The sequence below is a fragment of the Homo sapiens genome, chromosome 3 (genome assembly GCF_000001405.40).
Source record: "Homo sapiens chromosome 3, GRCh38.p14 Primary Assembly".
NCBI classification, from domain to species: Eukaryota; Metazoa; Chordata; class Mammalia; order Primates; family Hominidae; genus Homo; species Homo sapiens.
This window is the reverse complement of record NC_000003.12, coordinates 188,225,681-188,253,220: the sequence shown is the minus strand read 5'-3', so window position 1 is coordinate 188,253,220 and position 27,540 is coordinate 188,225,681. Positions and strand designations below refer to the sequence as shown.

Below are 27,540 nucleotides of genomic sequence, written 5' to 3'. Positions count from 1 at the left end.
CACTGTAATCAAAGTCAAAAGATAAACAAATTGGGAGAGATATGTGTAATATACTTCATAGATGAAAGGCCAATATATCTAATTTCCGAAGACCTTTCTAATTGAGAAAAAAAGACCAAAAACCCAATTTAAAAAAAAAAAAAAAAAGGACTGAGCACAGTGGCTCACGCCTGTAATCACAGCACTTTGGGAGGCCAAGGTGGGCAGATCACTTGAGGTTAGGAGTTTGAGACCAGCCTGGCCAACATGGCAAAACCCCATCTCCGTGAAAAATACAAAAAATTAGCTTGGTATGGTGACATGCACCTGCAATCCCAGCTACTTGGGAGGTTGAGGCAGGGGAATCACTTGAACCTGGGAGGCGGAGATCGCAGTGAGTTGAGATCGTGCCACTGCACTCCAGCCTGGGCAACAGAGAGAGACTCTGTCCCAAAAAAAATAAAATAAAATTTTAAAATGGGCAAAAGACATGAACAGGTAACTCACAAAAAACTCACAAAATGAATACATATGGACATTAAATACATTAAGATGCTTAACTTTACTCCTAATAGGACATGTGCAAATCAAAACTATACTGAGATACCACTTCTCATCCATCAAATTGGCAACAATTCATAAGCTTCACAGACATCTGTAGTTGGGAATGCTAGTGGGACATTCCATCAGAGAAAAATTTGGTAACTAAAGTACCTCATAAAATATTTACTCTTAACCCAGCATACCCATTTCTAAGAATATATCCCAAAAATATATCCAATGATATGGAAATACATATGCATAATGTTATTCATTGCAGAAAACTATCCAACTGTCCAAGCATAGGAAATTGGTTGAGCAGGAGAGAGAGAGAGGAAAAAAAAACGGAAGAAGGGGGAAAGGGAGGGAGGGAGAGAAGAAGAAAAGAAGAGAGGGAGTGCAAAAAAAAAGAAAAAAAATTTACGAAATCAGAGTGCAAAAGAAGATATACAACATGCTATCTTTTGTGTAAGAAAGAAGAGGAAATATAAAAACATATATATATATATATATATATATATATATATATATGTTTGGGGAAGAAGGGGCATTACAGGTTTTACTGAGAGGAGGGAAAGCACAGATAATCTGACGCTATAATCTGATATATGTGTGTGTGTGTGTGTATATATATATATATATATATATATATATATATATATATATATATCAGGATTAAAAAGAAATACCAGAAAGATAACCAAGAAAACCTCCAAGAGGTGTGGGGAATAACAAGGTGGAGCAAATATCTGAGAGACTGGCACTTCTTTTGGTTTAGTTTTGGCTTCTGGAAGCATGTTAATGTTTTACATATTCAAAAAATAAAATTAAACAAACTAGGATGGGAAGGAGGGAAACTAAAACTCAAAGCAAACTGAAGCATTTGAACCCAACTGTATTTTAAATGAACATAATGACCATTGGGATATAGGGGAAAGACACATGAAGAAAGAACTAATCCAGGTAATCCCTGAAGAGCGTTTGACAATATACCCTCAGTCTTGGGCAGGGTTAAGTTGAAGGAGGAGCACCATAAGCAAATCCTCAACTCTTTTTCACAGATTTGTTTTGTGTAGTAAGTGGTATTAGCAAATTAATAGTAGTAGTATTTGTGTATACATATTTGTATATGCACCCATATATTTACAGATAAACATATACACGTAGGTTTTGTTTACATATATATTTTTATATATAAAATTTCCTAGCTCCAGTCATTGAAAGAGGCTATAAGTTAAGGCACCAGAGTAGCAATGAGCACACCTAGCACTCAGATATTGGTCTCTAACATCTTTCTCCACATAAAAAGAGTGAGGACATAATGAAGACATGCTTGACTTCATGGCTGGGACAGAGAATATACAAGACCAAACTAGAACATCTTTTTATTCCAGCAATTAATCAATTGCTAACAACAAAGATGATGGGGACATGTCTCAAGGACACAGGAGCCAACTTGATGCAGCTCCCACTGACCAAATCTGGGATAATTTGAGGGCCAAAATAATTATATAGCAAGAATGAATTATGAAAGATTGAAACAGAAATCTTGAAGACCATAACCAAAAGAAAGAAAGAAAGAGGAAAATAGAGAGAAAGAGAGAGAGAGAAAGAGAGAGAGAAAGAAAGAAAAAGACAGAGAGAGAGAAAGAGAGAGAAAGAAAAGGGGAGGGAAGGGGGGAGGGCGGGGGGGAGGGCAGGGGGGGAGGGCAGGGGAGGGGAGGGAAGGGAAGGGAAGGGAAGGGAAGGGAAGGGAAGGGAAGGGAAGGGAAGGGAAGGGAGGAAGGAAGGGAGGGGAAACAGAAGAAAGAAAGAGAGAGAGAGTGAAAGAAAAAGAAAAGAAAGAGAGAAAGAGAAAAAGAAAAGAAAGAAAGAAAAAGAAAGAAAGAAAGAGAAAGAAAGAAAGAGAAAGACAGAAAGAAAGAAAGAAAGAAAGAAAGAAAGAAAGAAAGAAAGAAAGAAAGAAAGAAAGAAAGAGAGAAAGAAAGAAAAGAAAGAGGAAAAGAGAGAGAGAGAGCGGGAGGGAGGGAGGAGAAGGAAGGGGCTCCCGCATACAGTAGAACGCAGGATGCTGAATGATGAATGTGAAGAGAGTAGTAACATGGAATCCTAATTTTGCACCAATCATAGTAAATGCTGGTTTAGGAAAAAATGTAGGGTAATATTTTGATAAGGAGCAAGAATAAAGTGTCTCCCCATGGATAGCTTAATAATTGCAAAGGAAAGAATACCTATACTGTGGAGAAACTGGACAATGCCTTGATCAGTTGCTCAAAATTAACATCCCCAATGACGGAGAGATGGACACATAAGACTCCAGATGTGATCCCTGAGAGGGACACATTATCTTTGTAATATTCCTTCAGGGAATGCATAATTGAATCAAAACATGAAGAAACCAGTGACTAATACAAAATGAGGAATACTATAATTGTAAAGGGGGAGAACAAAAGTGTCAATGCCATAAAAGATAAAGAAAGGCTGTGGAAATGTTCCAAATCAAAGGAGACTAAAGAGACTTGACAACTAAATGCACTACCTGACCTTAGGCTGGACTGTACACTGAATGGGAAAAAGCAGTTTTCTTCAAGGACAGAACTGAGCCACCTGACAAAGGAGAAGTACAGACAGTAGACTGAAGTATTGAATCAGTGTCAAATGTACAGAAGCTGATTACCATACTGTGAATATGATGAGACTATCTTTATTTTTTTTATTATTAAGAAATACACACTGTACTTAGGGGTAGAGGCAATGATATAAGTGACCTACTCTGAAATACTTCTGGAAAAAAAAAAAATATATATATATATATATGGGGTGGGGGAGACTGTGTGTGTGTGTGTGTGTGTGTGTGTGTGTGTGTGTGTGTAGACAGAGAAAGAGAGGAAGGGAGGGAGGAAGGGGGAGGATGATAAATCCAATGGGATAAAATGTTAACAATAGACGAATCTGAGTAAAAGTATATGGCTATATTGGACTATGCTTATTTTGCAACTTTTTAAATAAGTTTAAAATCATTTACAATAAAAAGTTAAGAAAAAAACCATCAGAAAGAGGAGAGGGGAAAATGTAGTAACTGAGAATTAGCTCTATTTTCAAACATGATTTTAAAATAAATTAAGCACAAGCAATTTTATTTCATATAATATATACACTGCATACATATATATATATTTATTTCAGAGCTACACAAAGATTTTTGTATATTTTCTTTCCTTTTTTCTTTCTTTCTCTCCCTCCTTCCTTTCCTTCCTTCCTTCCTTCGAGACACTCTTGCTCTGTCGCCCAGTGGCACAATCTCAGCTCACGGCAGCCTTGACGTCCCAGGCCCAGTCACCCAGTGGCAGAATCTCAGCTCACGGCAGCCTTGATGTCCCAGGCCCAATCGATCCTCCCACCTCAGCCTCCTGAGTAGCTGAGACTATAGGCATGAGTCACCATGCCAGCTAATGTTTAAATTTTTTGTAGATGTGGGGTCTCGGCTGTGTTGACCACTCCACTCAAACTCCTGGACTCAAGCTATCCTCCCTGCTCGGCCTCCCAAGTGCTGGGATTACAGTTGTGAATCTGTAAAATTAAAATAGCACCTGGCTATTTTAATTTCTTAATATGGAAAGCAATTCCATAAAATTTCTTCTTCTAAAACTCCTGAGGGTAGACAAACACCTCACATGTCCAAGACCACAGTGGATGTATAACTAGAGCTACAGTTACAAGTTTTGTAGGTCAGTTCAAGCCTCTGAAATTCCAGTTCACTATGTTTGCAACCTGAGTGTTATTTCACTTTTAGAAAGAGCAAGTTTAGAGTTGGAAGATGAGCTTTATCTAACAACGTAATAGCTAGCATCAATTTTTAAAAACGTATTAGCAGTGGCTTTTGGGATTAAAAATTACCAAACGAACTGGTGCAAGGGAGGGCAGGGAGCTTTCTTCTTTGTCAAAATATAGATTAGGTCACATGTGCTGCCTTCCACCACACACCTGAGTTCCCAGCAGAAGGAAAAATTAATGAATCAGGCCTTGAAGTCTCCTTCTTGGATAAGTTTGGAAAGGGAAAAAACAAAGATATAAAGGTTAGACATTATGAGGTCAAGAAACATCAACTGAATGGAACTTGATGTTGAAACAGAAACAGGTAAAATATCTGGGAAGGCAGCAAAACCCTCAGCCCTCTGATTCCAAAACAAGCTCTGCTGACTGTATATATATATATATATATATATATATATAAAGTTATACTGCAGCTGAACACTAGGTATTGTTCCCTTCCAAAAAGCATTAAAATACAAAGGTCAGTTATCTTAAAAGGCATTTTATTGCACACGCTTTTAAAAGACCTTGAACAATTAAAGCAATGAAATATATTCCTTGCTCTCATTTTTAAACGTTCCTAGAAGCATAAAAAGAAGGCAGGTCCCAATGCAAAAAAACGCTAACCCTTTCGCTCCCTTCGCCCAACATTTACTTCAAGGCTTGTAAGCCTTTTCAAGAGTTTCCATTACATTCACGTTGTTTGGGTGAATTTTCGGTTCATCCAGCAGTTTTCACTTGGGTGTCAGGGAGACACAGCACAAAAATGCAGCCCAGTAAGTAAGATGTCAAGCAAGATACCATCAGAGAAATTGATACGAAATCAAGACTAGATCAATAGTTCTAAACTCTCGGGAGCTTTAAAATGTAACTGAGCTTGGGTCTCACCCACAGACACTGTGACTGAGATGAGCATTGTAGCATAAAGTTCCTCTGAAGATTTTAATATGTGGCCAAGTTTGCAAACCACTAGGCTAGAATATTTTAAACTCTTCTACATCCACTAAGTCTTAGGAAAATCGTCAATCCTCTGCTGCTTTACAGTGTCCTTAGATTGATATTGATCACATCTTTTTTTTTTTTTTTTTCTGAGATGGAGTCTCACTCTGTCGCCCAGCCTGGAGTGCAATGGCGCAATCTCGTCTCACTGCAACCTCCACCTCCCAAGTTCAAGCGATTCTCCTGCTTCAGCCTCCCAAGTAGCTAGGATTACAGGCATGTGCCACCATGCCCAGCTAATTTTTGTATTTTTAGTAGAAACAGGGTTTCACCATGTTGACCAGGCTGGTCTTGAACTCCAGACCTCAGGCGCCCACCTTGGCCTCCCAAAATGCTGGGATTACAGGCATGAGCCAACGCACCCAGCCTGATCACATCATTTTATCTCTCACTTTTGCTCAATTTCCACAAAAGTGAAATGACAAAAATTACAAACCAATTTCACCAATCTATAGAAAAAATTATTAATAAATGTTAAAGTCTTTGCATACACAAGTATTAGTTTTGACAACATCCTTAACACAGTGTATAAAACTATTTCTTAACTTTTCAAAGGTATTGCTCTCCTACCAACTAGTCTATAACCAGATGAAGGCTCTAAAAATAGCCTCAGCGTTTTTTTTTTTTTCCCACTAAAGTGCCCTGCAACTAAGACTTTGGGTGTGAGTTGTACTACTCACAGAACCCTTGATCTCAGGGTAAGAAGAATTCTCCAGAGGTCTTCTGGACAGTTCCTTGCCTTCATGCCGAAAAGAGCTCATTACCCCATTTCACAGATGGGTCAAGTGAGGCCCAGGAAATTAGAGTGATCTGAACTCAGTCACACACAGGTCTCCACACAAACATGTCAAGCTTTTAAGTACTGACTGAGTAGAATTCTTTTTCTATTAATAGTTCATCTGGGTGACTTAAGACAACCAGAGTTCTCTCTCCAGGTCTTGGCTCACCAATCTCTAAGAAAAGAAGGCTGAAATCCCATCATTTCTGGTCTGAGGCTGTAGAAAGAGAGAAATGCCTCAGATGTCAATAAATTATTAAGTTACTTAATTGATTAGTAACTTCGAACAAGATATTTTGTGTGACTAAGCCTCCATTTCCCTATTTACAAATTAGGAAGGATAATATTGTGAGAATTAAGGAATCCAGTTGATTCAGTTAAATAATCATCTGAGTCCCTACTTTGTGTCTCATCTATGTCAGATGGTAGGAAAATGTGGGTGTATTCAGTGCTCCTGCCCTGTGGGGGACTCACAGGCTTTCACCCTTTTCCAGGGAAAATGTTGTTGCTGAATAGAAAATGTAGAAACTGGAAGGAATATTTAAGATCTCATGCCCTATTTAGACTATTTAAATTCATAAGACATGGAAAGTCAGCAGAGATTTCAGATAAGAGAAATGAAATACAATTGCTATATCATCTATGAAGAGGAAAGAATTCCCTGTAATTAAATATCAAAACACTGAGCTTGGGATATGAGAAGGGGCAGAGAGTGTTAATCACAAACAAATTAGTGAGATAAATTGCAGGGTATCTGCTTCCTAAAGGCTTTAGAAAGTTATTGAGGCTGATAATTACAGAAATTCTATGGGTTTTCATTCCTACTTGAAGGGTAGACCAAAGAAATAGACACCTAGACATATCAGCCTGATCCCAATGTTCTCAGGTACCAGAGATTTAATGTTAATGAAAGAAAAAAAAAAAGTTGTAGACAGCATCTAGTTCAATAACCTCATTTTACAGATAAAAGAATAGACAGGAATAGAGAAACATGTCTGGGATGATAAAACAATTAAAAAGCAGATAGGACATCCAAGGGATATTCTAAGTCATTTCTCCATTAGAAAATCCTCACATCATTTCACACGATTTTATGGTATCAGTCCAAAAATAAAGTAAAAAACTTTGAAAATACATTTCAACAATTACAGTCAAGAAACAGAAATTTTTCCTTTTCCTGATAAAATAAAAAGCATTCACAGACAAATGAAAACAGTGAGGGTAGTACAATATATTCATCATTATTTTGTTTTTTGTGAAAGCAGGGCTGGGCTGGGTGTGGTGTCTCACACCTATAATCTTAGCACTTTGGAAGGCCGAGGTGGGAGGATCACCGAGCTCAGTAGTTGGAGAGAGCCTGGGCAACATAGTGAGACCTCGTGTCTACAAAAGAAATAAATAAATAAAAGCAGGGCACACACAAATGCAACGTTATTTTGATCTTAAAAAAAAAAAAGTGTGGGGTTAGAAAAGAGGGAAGCATGCCTTCTATTTTATTAAATTTACTTTGTGGTCTTTATTGCATAGGTGACATTATCATATAAGGTACCTTCTAAGAGGAGGTGAAAAGGCAAAAGGAAGGCAAAGGTGGTGGAATGAAGTTTAGGTCAGCAAACATCTACTGAGAATTTTCTCTGCTAATGGCTCTGGGCCAGGATCTGTGAGGAATAGAATCATAAGAAAATACCATCCCTGCCCACAAACTGTTTAAAAGCAAACAAGCCTGTAATCCCAGCACTTTGGGAGGCCGAGGCAGGCAGATCACGAGGTCAGAAGTTCGAGACCAGCATGACCAACATGATGAAACCCTGTCTCTATGAAAAATACAAAAATTAGTCAGGCGTAGTGGCGGGTGCCTGTAATCCCAGCTACTTGGGAGGCTGAGGCAGGAGAATTGCTTGAACCCGGGAGGCAGAGGTTGCAGTGAGCCAAGATTGTGTCACTGCACTCCAGCCTGGGTGACAGAGCAAGACTCTGTTTCAAAAGAAAAAAAAGGCGGGGGCAGGGTGGGAAACAAGGCAGAATTATGCTAACAATTTACCCTAATACAAGCCTAGAATGATGAGTGCAAAGAAGAGGACAAAAATCACCACTAACAACGGACCAAGAATGAGACACTAGGTAGCCACCCATTAGACACGGTCCATGCCCTCAAGGAACATATGCCTAGTAAGGAGATACAAAATCATTCATCCATCATTCATTCACTCAGATTCATTGAAAATCTACCATGAACCAGATACCGATGTACATGCTGAGGCTTCAGAAATGAGCAGGACATGGCTGAGTTCACAGTTCAGGGCAGACAACAAACACATAATGCTGAGTAGACACCAGGCAGTGTGATTAAGCCAAAGGAGATGTGTTTTAAAAGCCTAGGTTACTCAGAGAGAGAGGGGTAGATTATCAGAGATGACACGGAAAAGGCACCTCTACAACAAACAATCATACTTTTGACTCTAATACAATGGAGAATGAATAAAGCGTCTAATAGAGAAGAGTGCCACACACAGTGAGAAAGTCCCTAGGGAGTATTCTGACCAAAGTCTTGGTCTTGAAGGAGAGGCATAGTCTTCTAATTGCTTTGATGAATCACAGACCAAACAGTGATTCAGCTCTGAAAGAAACCTTAGAGATGGGCATTCCAAGGTCTCATGGGGTTAGTAGCAGAAGCAGGACTGGAACCCAGAACCCAAGTTGGACCACTAGACTGGTGCCTCTCCCTAAGCCCACTCTGCCTCTTCCATGTCTGTGAATGAGCTTACCACTCCTAGCTATGCAAAACTGCATAGAACCATTTCAGCAAGAGGCTCAGGTAGCATTAAAGAAGTTCCCACCTCAACGATGTCAATTTTTTGTTACTGTTGTCTTGAGGAAGCATGTTTGCTTTTAAACGCTCCCAAATTAAAAGCCATTCTCAGCCTTCCTACAATTGTATGTGCGCTGGGCGCAGTGGCTCACTTCTATAATCCCAGAACTTTGGCAGGCCGAGGCAGGCAGATATCTTAAGGCCAGGAGTTCGAGACCAGCCTGCACAACACGGTGAAACCCCACCTCTACTAAAAATACAAAAATTAGCCGGGCGTGGTGACGGGCACCTGTAAGCTACTCAGGAGGCTGAGGCAGGAGAATCGCTTGAACCCGGGAAGTGGAGGTTGTGGTGAGCAGAGATTGTGCCTCTACTCTCCAGCCTGCGCGACAGAGCGAGACTCTGTCTCAAAAAAATAAAAATTTTAAAAATAAAATAATTAATTAAAAAAAAAGATGTGGACCTGAACTCAGATTAGTGTCAGAGTGAACTTTCTAGTTAGCCTCCTCTTTCCACAGTGAAGAAATTACACCCAGAGAGACTGAGGTTAGTCACCCTGTCCAATCACAGCACCAGTTACACAGCACCTGAACTCAGAAGGGTCTAGCACCTTTTGCTCAGTGCTGCCAGTGTGGTGGTCTATGGCCTCATTCTCATAGCCTGCAAGTGATAGACCCCAGGACAGCAAGAATCATGCCAAAAGGATAACATCAATTAGCCTGTGTATTGTAGAAACAGATCACGAGATTTTAGAACGTAAAGAAAGAGAAAAAGAAACGATTTATTTCGCAGCTTTCCGTGCAAGCTTTTCAAAGGCCCTTCCCAGATCCGGCCTTCTGAGACACCACCCCAAGCCCCCGGAGGTTTGTTCTCTACTTAAATTGCCCCAAACTATGCTGTTTTCCTATCAATACTCAACAGCAAAGATGGAAAAGAATTGCCAATTTCTTGTGAATCCTGAAGATTTCCTTTATGAGTCATGGGAAACTAAAATAACCTGAGGGGTAGGGGGAACGGTAGAAACAGTTTTAAATCGGTTCTCACTAGTTTGTTTTACAGTGTGGTATAACTCCTGAGAACAGAAAAAATCAAGTTTCTAGAGTTGTTGTAAAAATAGGAGTTTTTGTCAGGTTGTGTCAGCTGTCACTGTGGCATTTCTTATTAGTATTTTTCTGTCTTTTTTTTGTTATATTAATTATAGTTTGATCACTGTAAGAGCTATTTTGAATCTATGGGACTTTCCTAACCAGATTGTTTTGGCATTTTAAAGTTACTCACATTCAGGGCCTAAACAATATAGCAAGTATCTTTTCTTCCTCTCTTTTTTATACTCAAATTCTGAACAAAGGAACCATCTGTTCTCTCTCTGAAAACATCAGCCCTTGTTTTCATTTTTCATTAATCATAATGCCTCAAACTTACATAATCTCTTTCTCCAACTTGCTTATTAAAGCATTTTGTAGACATCGCCTCATTCGTCTTCAATATCATCCCCTACAAACTAAGGAGAAAGGGGAAATGTTTGCTAATTTTCACTTAGGTAAGTGATTATCAGATGTTTAATGAATTTTGCATGAATGATGGCATGTTAGCCTCAGAAGGGACCTTGATGATCACCTGGCCCAGTTCTGGCTCTTGCATTTGTAAAATGAAGACCCAGAAAGGAGAAGTGATTTCACATTCTATTTGTGTACCTAACTCTCTACTCCTGACTGTAAGTGGTGAGGGTAAGAACCGTGTCTTTCACAGTTTTGTATCTCCAGTACCTGGTGTGTATTTGTTGAATGGATGAAAATGCTTGCAAATAGTCACACAGGTGGCTATGACAGAGCTGGGGTCAGAGCTCTACTCTCCTGCCTTCCCATTCAATGTGTGTGGTTTTTTTTTCCTTCTTCTTTTCCTTCTCTCTCTCTCTCTCTGTCTCTCTCTTTCTTTTTATAATACAATATAGACCTGAATGCAAGAAGAATCAAGCAGAGACACAACTAAAAAGGTGATGAGGATGGAGAGGATAAAAAGCAGGCTTTTACCTATAAGTTAGAAATAGGTTGAACAAACCCAGTAGAAATCAAGTTTAGCCATTAGCCATGCTAAAAAATAACCCATGTTAAGGCTGAGTGTCTAAAAGCTCTGCATTCCTTATGTGTGCCATATATTTAAGGATTTAGTGGATTCCTTAAACATTACCCAACTGAGGAAATGATCTGTCTTAACGCCAAAGGACAGCATGCCTCCTTAACACCTATTAGCCCAAAAAAAGCACATCATCCACCCTGCGATTTGGCCTCATCACTCACTGTAACTCAAGAGGACATACAGCGTCAGAATCATGAAATCTACCAGCCCAAAGTTTTCCAATGAGCAGAGGTCACTGGAATAAAGACCTTTATTCCATATGCCTAGCTGGAAGTCAGAAATTCATTTGACATGTTTCTTCTTATTTTCAGAATGTCCTACTCCCCACCATTACTCTTTGAAGTTATAGGGAAAATAAACTCTTTCTAGAAAAACAAGTTAAATTTTCAATTCTATCATCTGAAATTACGTATATAGTAGTAGTTATAACAAAGTCAACGACTCTCTGAAGATTCTTTAAAAATAGGTTGTCCATGTAGATGAGAAAGCTGTAGGTCTGAAGAGAGAAGGAAATCTTTTATTTTTCAGTAAAAGAAAAAAAGAAAAGAAATCAGAGGGCCAAGGAGAACTCAAGTATATTATAACACGGTCTCACATGAAGTACATCAGTTACAGATACAAGCAGGAAACAAATTAGCTTCAAAATAAAAACAAATCAACATAAATGAACCTTCAAACAACTCTGATGACTTTTTCTCCCCCAAAGGGAAAGATGAAAGGAGATTAGAAGGAAGAGAAGAGAAAAAGATGAGGAACGAGTAGGGAGATGCTTAAATCCCTAACACAGCATGTCTCACACAAACACAGCAGGCTGCCGAGGGTGTCTGGGGCTGTCCAGCACACAGCGGACAGGCGTTTATACCCAGTCATGCAGGATCAGCTGGAGAAACGTACAGCATGTACTTCAGGGCAAACAGCTGCAGAGAGGCCTGCGCAGATAACAGCAGGTTGGATTCATGCTATATCAGTAGTTCTATCCATACCCACCACCTTCTGCTCCTAGAGTGTCAGGCTATCCCCATGACCACTTATCATTCTTGCAGCCACTACGTGGAACATTAACCCTCTATTGACACTTCCCTGATAAAACTGTGCCCATTTCACATGTAGGGACATTCTCACTGTCTTGCTACCTCTAAAATCATCACTTTAGACTATGCATACATACCCCGTAACATCTTAACATTTTTCATTTAAAAATAAAAGAATCATATAGTTAAGGACATATAAAAGATCCACAAAATGTTCCCTAACTGGCCTTGCTCTCCACACGGAACTTTTTCAGAGCATTACTTTAATATAGCCAATAGGGAGGTTCATTCACTAAGAGTGTCTCTGATCTCTGCTCGTGTGTCTGCTCAGGTCGCCGAGGACAGAGCAGCCCTGCATTTGGAGCTCGCCCCTCCCTTGCCATGCTCCTCCCACCAAAACCATGTCTGAGGGAAGAATCCCAAAGAAGGTTGATGTGTTATCCCACCTGAGCAGCCTTACTAGTTGACATGATTGGATAGTTATGATTACGCTTTTTTATATGAAAGTTTCTACCCAAATATGTTGCTGGTCTAATATCCTAACTACTCAATAACAGTGGAATGAGTTTGAATAAAGCTCTCAACTACTCTAGGCACATCAGTTTCCTTCCCTACAAAATAAAGCAGTCAAATTCAGTACGTATAAGACTTCCTTCCAACTCAGAAATTCTGTGCCTATGAAGTTGCTACTGTCAAACAATCTGACCTCTCCCTCTTCATTTGTTCCTCTTTACCTCTTTCTCTCTCTGTCTCTCTCTCACACACACACACACACACACACACACACACACACTCTTACCCAAAACTCCTGACTCTTATGCAGTCAACAACCTTGTTAGGCAAGCTGTAAGCTATTCCTACCCATGTTCCCCCTCACTACTTTTTGGCTTAAAATTTGATACCAAAAGGATTTTTAAATTAGTTTATGAAAGGAAAATGAAACACACAGATATCATTTACACATAAACCCCACCTTGAGATGAGATCCTCTGAAGGGTCCAGCAGTCTCTCCATCATCCCAGGTCACAGATGTATCCATCTGCCAGCTCCATGAACTACAGGACAGCAATACCAGAGATCTAGGTGCTCAAGTCCCATCTCTATTTCTTGCTCTCTGAGACCTTGAGCAACTCATTTTACTTCTCTGGGCCTCAGTTTCTCTGACTGTAAAGTGAGGTGTTTGGGATAAAATAAATTGCAAATGATCTACCAATTTTGATATCCTACCCTAGAGGCCTGAAATTTCATTAGAAATGAAAGCAAATACCCATCCAAGCCCTCTTGACTGTATTGGTGTTTACATAGGACCTGCCAGATAAATTAAAGTGACTTTTTGCATGATGTTGCGCAATCAATACTAATAGTGCAGTAATAGGGCAAAGACTTCTAATTTGTGCTTGTTTATTTGTTTATTTCCAGGCTAAGGAAGTCACAGACACCACCTGCCAATGGCTTTTGGAGACTCCATAATGCCTTTCTTTGAACAATGGGCCCCAAGTTCAGAAACTAAAAATGTCAAAGGTAGAAACCACAAAATAGAACTAAGGAGCCTGAAATATTGATAAAATGATTAAGAGAAAGGAATGTGATAGCCCTCTTTAAAAATTTTGTTAAAACCAATAGCGATAGTAAGAAAAGGTGATATAAAGTAAAAATAAAATTGAGCACAGAAAAGACTGATTTGCCTGGGATTCCTTTCAGCCGTGTAATCGACACAAACAGCAAAGACCATAATACTCATGTTTCTATTTGCTACCCTCAACTGACATGGTTGGCCATTTGTTTTGTTTTAAATAAAATGAGGAAGCAACAACTGTATTAAATTCATCCGCAAAAAGGCCATATTTGCATGTGGAAAACAAGTAAGTGTGTGCCTGAATGGGTGATTAGGCTTACGATTGCCCATCTGCACCCAGGGCCCAGGCATCCCTGCAGGTGTGCCTGCCGCAGGGGCAGAGAAACGGAGTGGAGAGCCCTCTGCCATGGAGGGAAACCCCACGGCAACTGGACTTGTTCAAAGCTGCACACCACTACCATCCTGCTCCTGATCCAGTGCCCCCATCTCTTAGAGCTGAAAAACAGAAATATGTTTTGTCATTCTTTTGTTAGATTTATGTGGATTCTTTGAATCACAAAAGCAATTTATTTTTTCCTGAGCATCTTCAATGTGTACTTAACTAATAAAGGCATATCTTGTTTTATTGCACTTCACTTTATTGTAGTTGGCAAATACTGTGTTTTTTACAAATAGAAGATTTGTGGAGGCAGCTGTGTATCAAGCAAGTCTTTAGGTACAATTTTTCCAACAGCATGTGCTCATTTCATGGCTCTGTGTCACCTTTTGGTAACTATCACAATGTTTCAAACTTTTTCATTATTATTATATGTATTATGGTGATCTGTGATCAGTGATATTCGATGTGACTATCATAATTATTTTGGGGTATCACAAATCATGGCCATATGAGATGGCAAACTTGATCAATAAATAGGTGTGTTCTGACTGCTCCACTGACCAGCCATTCCCACGTCTCTCCTTGGACCCTCCCATCTCCCACACTAATACTGAAATTAGGCCAATTAATAACCCTACAATGGTTTCGAAGTGTTCAAGTGAAAGGAAGAGTAGCACATCTCTCACTTTAATCAAAAGCTAGAAATGGTTAAGTTTAGTGAGGAAGGCATGTCAAAAGCCAAGAGAGGCCAAAAGCTAGGCCTCTTGTGCCAAACAGCCAAGATGTGCATACCAAAAAAAAAAAAGTTCATAAAGGAAATTAAAAGTGCTATTCCAGTGAACACATGAATGATAAGAAAGTGAAACAACCTTATTGCTGAGATGAAGAAAGTTGGAGTGATCTGGATAGAAGATCAAACCAGCCACAAAATTCCCTTTAAGTCAAAGCCTAATCCAGAGCAAGGCCCTAACTCTGTTCAATTCTATGAAGGCAAAAAGAAGTGAGGAAACTACAGAAGAAAAATCTGAAGCTAGCAGAGATTGGTTCCTGAGGTTTAAGGAAAAACTAGGTCTCCATAACATAAAAGTGCAAGGAAAAGCAGTAAGTGCTGATGGAGAAGCTGCAGCAAGTTATCCAGAAGATCAAGCTAAGATCACTGACGAAGGTAAATACTAAACAACAGATTTTCATTGTAGATGAAACAGGCTTATATTGAAAGAAGATGCCATCCAGGACTTTCAGAAGTAGAGAAAAGAAATCAATACCTGGCTTCAAAGCTTCAAAGGACAGGGTAACTCTCTTGTTAGAGGCTAATGTGGCTGGTGACTTTAAGTTGAAGCAAATGCTCATTTACCATTCTGAAAATCTTAGGGTCCTTAAGAATTATGCTGAATCTACTCTGCCTGTGCTCTATAAATGGAATGACAAAGCCTGGATGAAAGCACTGTTTCCAGCATGGTTTACAGAATATTTTAAGCCCACTGTTACCTACTGCTCAGAAAAGAGGGAAAAAAAAAAGATTCCTTTCAAAATATTTCTTCTCATACCTGGTCACACAAGATCTCTGATGGAGATATACAAAGAGATTAATGTTGTTTTCTTGTCTGCTAACACAACATCCATTCTGCAGCCCATGGATCAAGGAGTAATTTCAACTTTCAAGTCTGATTATTTAAAAAAATACATTTCATATGGCTCTAGCTGCCATAGATAATGATTCCTCAGATGAATGCGGACAAAGTAAATTGAAAACTTTCTAAAAAGGATTCACCATTCTAGATGCCATTAAGAACATTTGTGATTCATAAGAGAAGGTCAAAATATCAGCATTAACAGGAGATTGGAAGAAATTTATTCCAATCCTCATGGGTGACTTTGAGTGGTTCAAGACCAGTGGAGGAAATAACTGAGGATGTGGTGAAAATAGCAAGAGAACTAGAATTAGAAGTGGAATGAAGATGCAACTGTGTTGCTGTAATCCTTTGTTTAAACTTGAATGGATAAGGAGGGGCTTCTTATGGATGAACAGAGAAAATGGTTTCCTGAGATGGAAATTACCCCTGGTGAAGATGCTGTGAGCATCGTTGAATGACAACAAAAAAAAAAGTATATCAAATATTTCATAAACTTAATGGATAAAGCAGATCCAAAGTTTGAGAGGCCTGACTCCAATTTTGAAAGAAGTTTTCTTGAAGGTAAAATGATATTATGCATTATCACATGCTACAGAGAAGTGATACAGCTTGATATCACTCTTTCTCTGCAGAGTCAATCAATGTGGCAAACTTTATTGTTGTCTCACTTTCAGAAATTGCCACAGCCACCCCAACTTTCACCAACCACCACTCTGATCAGTCAGTAGTCATTAGCATCATGGCAAGACCCTCCATCAGCAAAAGCAGGACTCACTGAAAGTTCAGATAATTGCTAGCATATTTTAGCAATAAAAGTTTTAATTAAGGTATGTATACTGTATTTTTAGACATAATGCTATTTCACACTTAAGAGACTACAGTATAGTGTAAACATAAATTTCATATGCACTGGGAACCAATAATTTTGTGTGACTCGCTTCACTGCAATATTTGTTTTATTGCGGTGGTGGTCTGCAACTGAACCCACAATATCTCTCATGTATGTCTTACTGGTTGTTGCAACTATTTTTATTTGGCATGCATGACCACTTTTACACACTTCACTCTAGCCACACTGTCCTCTTCACTTTTCCGGCATGTCCCCAGCATGCTTCAGGTCAGGTTATTTGCATTTGCTTTCAGTCAGTTCTACACACTCTTCCTCCAGTCCATCCCACCCACACATCTCTGGCTTGCTACCTCGTTTCATTCAGGTCTCCATTCACATATACTCTTACCATCAAGACCTTCTCAGGCCAGTGAATTTACATTTGTGTCCTCCCTACTCTTCATGCCTTTAACCTCAATTATTTTTCTTCTTAATATATTTAGGTTGGTGTAAATGTAATTGCGGCTTTTGCCATTAAAAGTAATGGCAGAAATCACAATTACTTTTGCACCAACCTAATAGATCACAATGTAAATATTACATATTTACTCATTAATTTTTCTGTCTTTTTTTTAACATTTGTTCTAGTCCCATCACCTGGAATAGTGTCTAGCAAATAGTAGGTGTTCAGTAAACGCTCGAGTTAATGAGTCATCATTATTACTATTTGCAAACTATTATACTAGATGACATGGGACTTCCTATGGAAAAAGACATAATTCATGCCCTCAAGGAGCTTCTACAATCTAGAGGAGAAGAAAGATTGTGAAAACAGGCTTATACAGCAGACTGAAGTGGCATGAATGCTTTATTGGATGTATACACAAAGCATTCTGGTAGTACAAAAACAGCCAATCATTGACAATAGGGGATGGTGGTTGGAGGAGGCCTAAAGAAGAGACTTCCCTGGAACTACCCTGAAAAGAAACGTACAAATCATCTTCAAAAATACATTCAGTACAAAAAATTCTAAGACATCCTCAGTTAGTCTCCTTTCCTTCAATAATGCTAAGTGGAGAAGAGATTGCCCAAGGTAAGTCAGCACTTACATGTGCCAAGATTATGGAGAAAGGAACAATCACTTTACTCCAAAGAGCCTTCATTTTAAAATGGAAATTATTTAAATGTACACAAAAACATGTCTAAAAAAACTCTAGACTCTTAAGACAGGGAGGACCTTAAAAGTCATCATGTATAACATTTTATCCCCACCACAAAATACCTAAAATAGAAAATACCTAACTGCATCAACCCCACCTAGACATCTGCAGTGATTGTGAACTTCGACCTCCTGAAACACACATTCCATCTGTGGTTTGCTCTTAATATTAAAACATTAAGCATTTTCCATAAACATTGAGAAAACATCAACATTCTCACACTATCTATCTCTTGCTTCCAACCCACTGCTGCCAGAACTCTTCCAGAGGTCCCAAAAAGTGAGTTTGCACCCGTTCCACAGCAGAGACCCAGGACAGCACCACCTGCTCTGCTCTCTCCTCCTCCTGCCCCTTTATTTCTTCTTTACACTAAGCACTTCCAGTTCCTTCTTCATTCCTCTAGGGTTCAAGTTTCCAGCACCTTCAGCCATCCTAAAATGCCCTCTTCCTTTCCTTCCTTTATTCTTGTCCCAGTGTTCAATCACCTGGTTGCTGAGCTGACCTACTGCTCATGCAATTGGGCTTTTTGCAGAGAGCTAAGCATTTTGTCTGGAGTTGGAAGAAGGGGAACAGGAGATCTAATGGATTCATGGGGTAAGGCTGATCCAATTAAGACCCTGGCAGGATCACCTGCCTTTCTGACCTTGACCTTGAACTGCCATCTTTGACATAAATTTGAATAGTGGGGACATCATAACTCCTAGGAAGCAAAGAAGACAAAGAGGTGAAAAGTGACCTCACTCAACCTCAAAGACATACAGAGTTTGAGTAGTCTTGTGTTTTCAATAAGTCATGGATCTTCTAGAACTTCTTATTCTAGCTTTTCATCTCCCACAGCCAGCCTACGTGTATGAATGTGAGAGTCAAATGTGTAGCTTTTAACCATCTCTGTGTCAGAGAATCAGCTTCTAAAACTTAATGGGCTACGTGATCTTGGGCAAGACACTTCACAAGTCAGTAAATCAAAGCATCCAGAAGGTAGAACAAAAAGAGACATTTAAATCACCTAGTCCAAAAGCAGCTCAGATACCTCTCATATGCTTTCACTCTCCACTCCCATGGCGATATTCCTAAGTGATCATTAGCTGAGTCAGGATGCAGCCTCAGAGTCCTTCTCAGCACAGCACCTCAAGGAACCACTACCAACACATCATTTGGCCATGTGAAATAAAATCCAAACCACTCATTCCTCAGCTGAGAAAAACTGAACCACAAAGATGAGCCATGACTGACTGCCCGGGTCTCACTATTAGGAGCAGACCGGGAACTATCAAAACCCCTTACCCCATTCCTCTAAGTCATTTCTCCTCCCTAACTCTGACAGTCTGTGAATAGCCCTTGGAGCAGGGGTGGGGGTTTGCTATTACACTAAGTTCCATAAGAGTACAGATAACGGGTTTCTAACAAGGGGAAGGAGCAACACAGGAGGCTTAAAGGAAGATGTGCATTTGAGCAGGCTACAGAAGGATGCTATTTGTGGGAACCAGTGAAGTATGCCTTTAGCAGAAGAAAAGTTAGGATTGGGGTGAGCATTCCAGCAGAAGAAACAGCATAAGCAGAGGAATGGTGAGGACTCTGGAGTGCTGAGCAGGGGGTGAGCAGCGGCTACACACAGAGGCCATGGAGGGTGGCAGTGGGGATTGGGAGCGAAGAAAATGACAAGATTAAAAGAGTAACCAGAGACTTTGTGGAGTTGTAAATGCTGATTTTTAAAAATTGACTTAAAGGCCTTAAGTGTAATAAATGGTAAAAGAAGATTTAAACAGGAGTAGAAGGAAAAGTAAAGAATATATCTCCATTCTCAATGGGGGGAAAAAGCCTTGCTATAAACTGTATTACAGGAATACTTTCATTATGTAAAAACCTATTTTGTTTTCATGTCATTCTTAGATTACATCATAGAGTGGCTGCAGCCATCTCACACTATATTATAAATAAATCACTGGCTTAATCATAGAATGAGCCAGGGCCTCAGATTTAAAAGGAAAACATTAGATCATTTTTAATAACTGATATAACTCAAACCAGTTGGCATTGAACCACGGTGAGGTGATCTCATCCTGAAGAAGTCCAAAAAGGACCCAAAGCAGGTCAGAGCTGAGCAGGTCCCAGAGACACTTCCATTTACAGATGAAGAGGTTGCTAATGGCACCTGAGTAGAATTCACCCCTGGACTAGTCTTGCCATTAAAATCAACACTTACTTTCCAGTAGTGATGCCCAATAAGCCTTCCCCATGAAACACAGTGGATAAAGGTTTTGTTCCTAGAGCCACTATATTTCCAGGTATCAGAAAACATGAGCACATTATGATGTTTGTAGTTAGGCCTTGGGAGTCATTATGCAAAATTAGAAATGTTGAGGCTATTAATTATTCAGGAAACATGAAATCTGGGGTGACCAATACACAAACGCTGCAGGTCTAGGCCAATCCAAGGGGACAGTGTAAACAGGACATGAGATAATGGCCTAACAAAGAAAAGAACTAAGGGTGATCTCCAGCAAAGAGTTATGGACTCTTAAGGTGATCAGAAACTTAACATTTAATGTGTGCCAACTACATAAGAAGTACCACACTCAATAGGTACTTTATAGACATTACGCTGCTTTGAGAGCACCAAAGACTCTGAAGTAGGCACTCTTCACTCCATGGCTTGCAGAAGTGAAAACAGGCTAAAAAAAACTAAGTGAACTAGGTAGGATTCAGTGACTAACGTGACAGTCTTCCTACTCCAAATTCCTCTTTACCATGTTGTCCTTGTCCAACTAAAACTCTATTTCCTACTATGTACTTTTAATAAAAATGAAATAATTGGTAAGAAACACTTTAATAACAAGCAGAGTTAGCCAGGCATGGCAGCTCACACCTGTAATCCCAGCACTTTTGGAGGCCAAGGAGGGTGGATCACTTGAGGTCAAGAGTTCAAGACCAGCCTAACCAACATGGTGAAACCTCCTCTACTAAAAATACAAAAAAAAAAAAAAAAAAAAAAATAGCCGGGTGTGATGGCATGCATCTGTAATCCCAGCCACTTGGGAGGCTAAGGCAGGAGAATCGCTTGAACCTTGGAGGCAGAGGCTGCAGTGAGCTGTACCATTGCACTCCATCCTGGGCAACAGTGAGACTCCATCTCAAAAAAAAAAGAATAAGATGAGTATTAAAAAAAATTGCTGAGAGTTGAAAGGGACTATGGAGCAGGTAGTAGAATTCACGTTCTGGCCAGCCACATTCTCAGTGACCAAAGCTGTGCGTTCCTCATTTTGGCTGTAAAGTCACTAATAAGCTTGACCATAATTTTAAGGCTCCAATTTCCATTAATTTTTCTAGTTATGTGAATGTGGACTCTAAGGGAACCTGTCATCTTCTATAAAATAAACTGCGGAGCTTGATTTTGAAAAGGACTGCTTTGGTCGGGGGAAGAGAAGGATGCTCTGGAAAAGAAACTCCCTGCCAGACAGAGGGTATTGGCTGAGGTTTTATGTCTGGTCTTGTCAGTCTCAAAGTAACGTTGTATATCAGCTCTCTGTTCCTAAAACAAATGTTATTCATAACTGCAGAGATACACTGTCTGAGCCGTGTAATATTGATTTATGCAACTTTTCAGGACACAACATGGCCCACCAGGAGACGCAGACCCCTGAAATTTAACTAAAGGGACAAAATCAAAGCTCAAGATTCCAATTTTTGACCTATTTTTCCTAATCTGTTTCTGGGACAGGAGAGAGTTTGAGAAAAGAAGAGAAAACATCCTAAAAGTTGCACAGACTCATTATGCAGCAGAGACTGTGTGGAGCGGTGGAAGGCGGGGCACAGAGAGGAGCTGCAGATGGTTCCTCCCTTGACTACCGCTGGCTCTGTGGCCCTGGAAGAGTATGTGCCCTTTCCAAGTCTCGGTGTCTCACGCATACAGCAAGGGGCTCAAGCAAGAACCTTTCGACATTTCTACCAAAAAAGCTCTACCGCTGAGGAGGGCAAAAATACAGAGGTAAGGGAACACGGCATGAATTGAAAACTTGTGTTTTTCTTCTTAAAAGCCATGCCAACTTTACATCCTGTGCTATTATGTACCAGTGCTTCTCTTAAGAGTTTTAAATGGAGTTTTCCCCCAAAAATGTCTTCAAGTAAAATTGATCCACAGAGGTGTGCTGGGTTTATTCAACTGCTTCAGGCAACGTCCACTTCCACCTTAGCACATCCATGTAAACCTGGGGAATCTGTGGTAAGCAGCCCCTAAGATGGTTCCGTGTAACTCCACCTCCTGGTATTAATAACCTTGTGCTCATATTCACCCCTCCCCTTCAGTGTGGCCTGGACCTAGTGACTCGCTTCTCGTAAAGAGAATGAGGCAGAGGGAACAGTGTGTCACCTCCAGGATTAACTTATAAAAAGACTGTGATTTGCCTCTCAGGGACTCTCTCTTGCTCACTCATTTTGAGGGAAGGCAGCTGCCATGTGAGCTGCCCTATAGAGAGCCCTACACGGCAAGAAACTGAAGTCCTCAGTCCAATAATCTGTGGGGAAACAAATCCTGCCAACCATCATGCGATGTGCTTGGTAGCAAGTAGATCTTCCCCGGAGTTCAGCCTTCCGGTGAGACTGCAGGTCCAGCAACACCTGGACTGCGATGTGGTGAGAGATCTTGTGGCACCCATCCAAGCTGCTCCCAAATTTCAGAAACTGTGAGATAATATTAATCAATGCTTTTTTTCTTTTTTTTTTTTTTTGAGACAGAGTTTTGCTGTTGTTGCCCAGGCTGGAGTGCAATGGTGCGATCTCGGCTCACCGCAACCTCCGCCTCCTGGGTTCAAGCAATTCTCCTGCCTCAGCCTCCCGAGTAGCTGGGATTAGAGGCATGCCCGGCTAATTTTGTATTTCTAGTAGAGATGAGGCTTCTCCATTTTGGTCAGTCTGGTCTTGAACTCCCGACCTCAGGTGATCTGCCTGCCTCAGCCTCCCAAAGTGCTGGGATTACAGGCATAAGCCACTACGCCTGGCCTATTTTTTTCTTTCTCCCAACTCTTCATCCACGCCCCATGAGATCTGAGACTATAATTTATCTCAATTTCCCAAGCACTCAGCGTAAGGCCTGAAACATATCTGGTGATTAATAAATGTGTACCATAAATAATATGTTTCTTGTAATCCCAGCACTTTGGAGGGCCAAGGTGGATGGATCATGAGGTCAGGAGATCAAGACCATTCTGGCCAATGTGGTGAAACCCCGTCTCTACTAAAAATACAAAAATTAGCTGGGCGTGGCGGCACGCACCTGTAGTCCCAGCTACTCGGGCAGCTGAGGCAAGAGAATCTCTTGAATCCTGGAGGCGGAGGTTGCAGTGAGCCAAGATCGCACCACCGCACTCTGGCCTGGCAACGGAATGAGACTCCATCTCAAAAAAAAAAAAGAATATGTTTCTAATGTGTATTTCTCCTTTATATGTTTGTCTTTTTCCCTAACTATAAGCTTCTCAGGGTCAGGGACTAAGCCTAATTCACATAGTTTCCTAAAGATCATGAGGTTCACTAACACCCAGACCAACACTGAGATCAGGGCAGCAAACACATACTCTATGAACCAGGTGTAAATATTTGGCCACAATCTACAAAGGTCTCTCTACCCATTCAAACTTCAGATGCTGTCTACCACACAGCAACTCATTGAGGAAGACCTGAGAATTCGGATCCCCTAAGGCCATGCCTAATGTAGAGTAGAGGTATCTCCACTGTGCCAGAAGCCAAGAAATAGGAGAATGTGGAATTAGGAGGAAGGAAGCAAAAGAGAGAAAGAGATATCACTACTTTTTACTTTCGTGGACAGCAAACATACCTCCTACAAGACATCCCTGGGTTACACGAAGAACCATAGAGTTTCAGGGGACTGGATAGGTCACTGCTCAGACCCGACAAATCCTCTTGTAATTTTTGAAGCAAATAACATACAAGCAATAAAAGCTAGCTGAGCAAATGCTCACACATGCCCAGAAAGCACCTGACTGAGGAATTATAGACAGCCAAGACATTCACCTCTGACGGAAGTGACCAATGCTTTGCTTCCGGCAGAGACTAATACCTGATACTTCTGAGGACCAAAGAGGAAATATTAAAACTGAAAGCCCTTGGCGACAGTCGGCAATTGTAAACCGGTATCAACAGAGGGAAATAATTTCCTTCCTGACTCCCACTGGGCTAGTCACGCCTGGAGCAGCAGGTATGATTATCTAATCTAACAAAGTAAGAAGCCAAATGGGCTAGACTGTAGCTTCTATGGGTTCTCTCAAGCACTGAGCTTCCCGGGTTTCTTAATTTACCACCCTCCACCTCCTGTCTCAGGCAAAAATGAATGTGAAAAATAATAATACATAATTCTATTTCAATTTTAACCTGCATCATTAAGCAAAGTTGCAGATCTAGCTGCAGGACTGAGGACGAGTTAGTGCCCATCCAACCCGGAGGAGGAAGAGGTACAATGTTGGCAGGAAGGGCATACGCTGAGCATGTCTAATGTTCCCGATGCTGTGCACTGAACTTACATTGTCTTTTTCTTTATATTCAAGATGAGTCTTTAAGGAAGAAGACAACTGTAATAATGTATCATACAGGAACCACACTTTATAGTTTACAAAACAGGTTGGCATTTAACAATGCACTTGCTCTAAGCAAACATGAGAGGTAGGCAGGGCAATGATTATTGTTCCTAATTCTCAGATCAAAAAAATAAGGGTGAAGGGATGTTGTTTTTCTAGGGTTGCACATCTCATACTTGTCAGGACTTCTGTTAGGGCATCCCACCATACTCACTGCCTTTTTATGCCCTCACAAACTTCTTAAGTCAAAAGCCTCTTTCTGTCCAGTCATTTGGGATTTTGTTTGTTTAGTTGTAGAGACAGGGTCTTGCCACATTGCCCAGGCTGGTCTCAAAATCCTGGCCTCAATCGATCTTCCTGCCATGGCCTCCCAAAGCACAGGGATTACAGATGTGAGCCACGATGCCCAGCTTGTCCAGTCATTTGTTTCATTCTCATTAAATCACGTAGTCTGGCTTCATCTGTGCTACAATTCCTATACTCCCTAACAGAGAGTCAGCCAATGCCCGATAGAACACCCTTTGGGAAAGGGACCCTCACTTCCTTCAGATTTATTCTATCCATGAAAATTCATGCAGCACCTATCCCATGCCAGAGACCCCAGCAGACTCTGGAGACACACACATGAACAAGCAATGCTGTCCCTGTCCTGCCCAGGTTCTATGTTCTTGATGGCCATGAGCACGTGTGTCCCAGAATCTTGCAGCAGAATCCATGGTCTCATTCCCGTAACACTTCTTGGTTGGCCATCATTCCTGGTCCTCTCAGCATCCTCGTGTAGACAGTGCAGCTGGCTGATGCCTTTTCAGAAGGTGAGGCAGGAACTAAAGCCCGGCTCTCTAGAGGGTCTCTGACAGGGGGGCTAAAGAGGTCTGCAGAAGGCCTGTGGTTGCCCACGGAGCTTCCAGTCCTCTCTCCCTCTCCTAACAGCACCCAGATATTCCTTTGCGGGGCCACCTCTTCTCCACTGTGTGAGTACCATGAGGTTTGGATGGGACTATGTCCAAATTCAGTTTCAGGAGAATAGTGGTTCATATTACCATAATCCCATTCTCTTGGCTTCAATGACTGGTTCAGAAATATACAGTCAGCCAAGCCTATGAGAATATAGCAAACCAGGCTCTTTCCCCTAAATGGGAACAGGGATATCTATAGTTTGGGTTTCAGCAGGCAGCCGTCTCATGGCCCATGAGGTAAAACATTCCAAGGATGAAGCCCAGGCACAAAAAAGGGCAGAGCAAGAAGTGCTGCAGAAAAACAGAGCTAGAGTCCTGTTCAAACTGTGCCTGAGGCTCACATGACCTCTGCACTTGCCAGTTTCCAGGTGTTCTAGGTTTGCAGAATCACCCACTCACTTTGTTCTAGATGCCATACTCTATTAAACGCAGGTGAAGGCTGCATCAGCATTTCGGAAGCCACTCCCAACAAAAGCCACTGTTGGCTCATATTTAGCTTATGAACAACAAAAACTTCTAAGACTCTTCCAGTCTGCTCATAGGTGGGAACTGAACAATGAGAACACATGGACACAGGAAGGGGAACATCACACTTTGGGGACTGTTGTGGGGTGGGGGGAGGGGGGAGGGATAGCATTAGGAGATATACCTAATGCTAGATGACGAGTTAGTGGGTGCAGCACACCAGCATGGCACATGTATACATATGTAACTAACCTGCACATTGTGCACAGGTACCCTAAAACTTAAAGTATAAATAATAATAAATAAATAAAAAATAAAAATAAAATAAATAAATAAAAGTCTCTTCCAGTCTGCTCTTGTTAAGGAAATCTCTCCCTTTCTATCATTACACACTTGATTTTTTTAAGTCCAAGTGCAAAGCTTCATACTTATCACAGTTTAATTATAAACACTGAAAAAACTCAAGACATAGAGGAGGTGACAAAGATTTTTCATTTGATACTTAAACGTATGCTAGGGGGAATATATTCCAGATCATGTTTGAAATTTTAACAGACACTAAGGTTTAAGCATCAAACCAGTGGTTTCCAGCCTTTTATGTAATATAGATCAATAGGCACACAGTCAGTTGTACTTTTAAGATACACTGATTAAGAAAAGACAGAGAGACAAAACACATCTATAAACTCAGTCACACTTTTAAATGAAGTTAGTTTTTTTTCAATCACAATGGCATCATCTCTGTTTTGGAAAACTACACCACAAATATGTCAAGGTGTATTAATTACTCAGTACAAAGCCAATGCTGGGGGCATATATGAATTGGCCTCAGCCAATGGGGACCATCGAATCAGGATCCTAAGTGGAAGTCGCACCCAGAATTCCCTTACTAATTTCCTCAGCTTTCCTTAGAGCCCAGGGTATTCCACACTGTTGATTCTTTTTACCACCCCGATTTTTTAGAACATAATGTTCTACTCTACCCATTAAGTACAGAGGTACACCAAAACACAAGGGAAAGTTTACCTTACCTGGTCACAATTCTCCTTTCTGAGCACATAACAGGATTTGCACCTCACATCCTGGTGGAGCTCTGGCAGGCCCTTTAAAACAAAGGCTCACACCCTTTGCCTAAGCAAATTTAGCCTGCTCTGCCCCAAAGGGTTGTTATAGAAATAAAATGAGGCTGGGCGCAGTGGCTCACACCTATAATCCCAGCAATTTGGGAGGCTGAGGCGGGTGGATTACCTGAGGTCAGGAGTTCAAGACCAGCCTGGCCATCATGGTGAAACCCCATCTCTACTGAAAATACAAAAATTAGCCAGGCATGGTGGTATGTGCCTGTAGTCCCAGCTGCTCGGGAGGCTGAGGCAGGAGAATCGCTTGAACCTGGGAGGTGGAGGTTGCAGTGAGCCAAGATGGCACCACTGCACCCCAGAATGGGCAACAGAGCAAGACTCCATCTCAAAAAAATAAATACATAAAATGAAATGAGATCACAAAAGAAGCAGCACTTTGCACAAGGGCAAACAAGAGACACTCAATAATACTGCTTTCTTTCCTTGTAAATGCCCAAACACTGTTCAGTGACATTTTCATTTTGGTCTTTCCATTTCATGAACACTTTCTTCCATGCCAAATGAGAAAGAAGGAGGCAATACAATTGCTGGCAACCTGAAATCATCGTTACTCCAAATTTTCCTCCAAGTTCAATGCTACCACCTTCCAAGAGCTGAGCTCTGCCTTTGCTTTGCCACACATTTTATTAGCATGGTTATATATTGTCTATTGCCATAAAAGCAACTCAAGAAA

General features: G+C 40.7%; 1 protein-coding gene across 56 annotated transcripts in view; it reads right to left on the bottom strand.

The window, feature by feature from the left end:
- Window positions 1–27,540, bottom strand: part of LPP (LIM domain containing preferred translocation partner in lipoma) — a 737,651-nt gene that overhangs the window by 637,451 nt on the left and 72,660 nt on the right. Inside the window, exon 1 of one of the 56 annotated variants that reach the window (XM_011512823.3) lies at window positions 13,059–13,380. The exons of the other annotated variants lie outside the window; for them this stretch is intronic. Within the exon in view, the coding sequence (XP_011511125.1) occupies window positions 13,059–13,124 (66 nt within the window). The 5' untranslated portion in view covers window positions 13,125–13,380. Of the gene's footprint in view, window positions 1–13,058; window positions 13,381–27,540 lie in introns of those variants that run through there. 56 annotated transcript variants of the gene reach the window in all.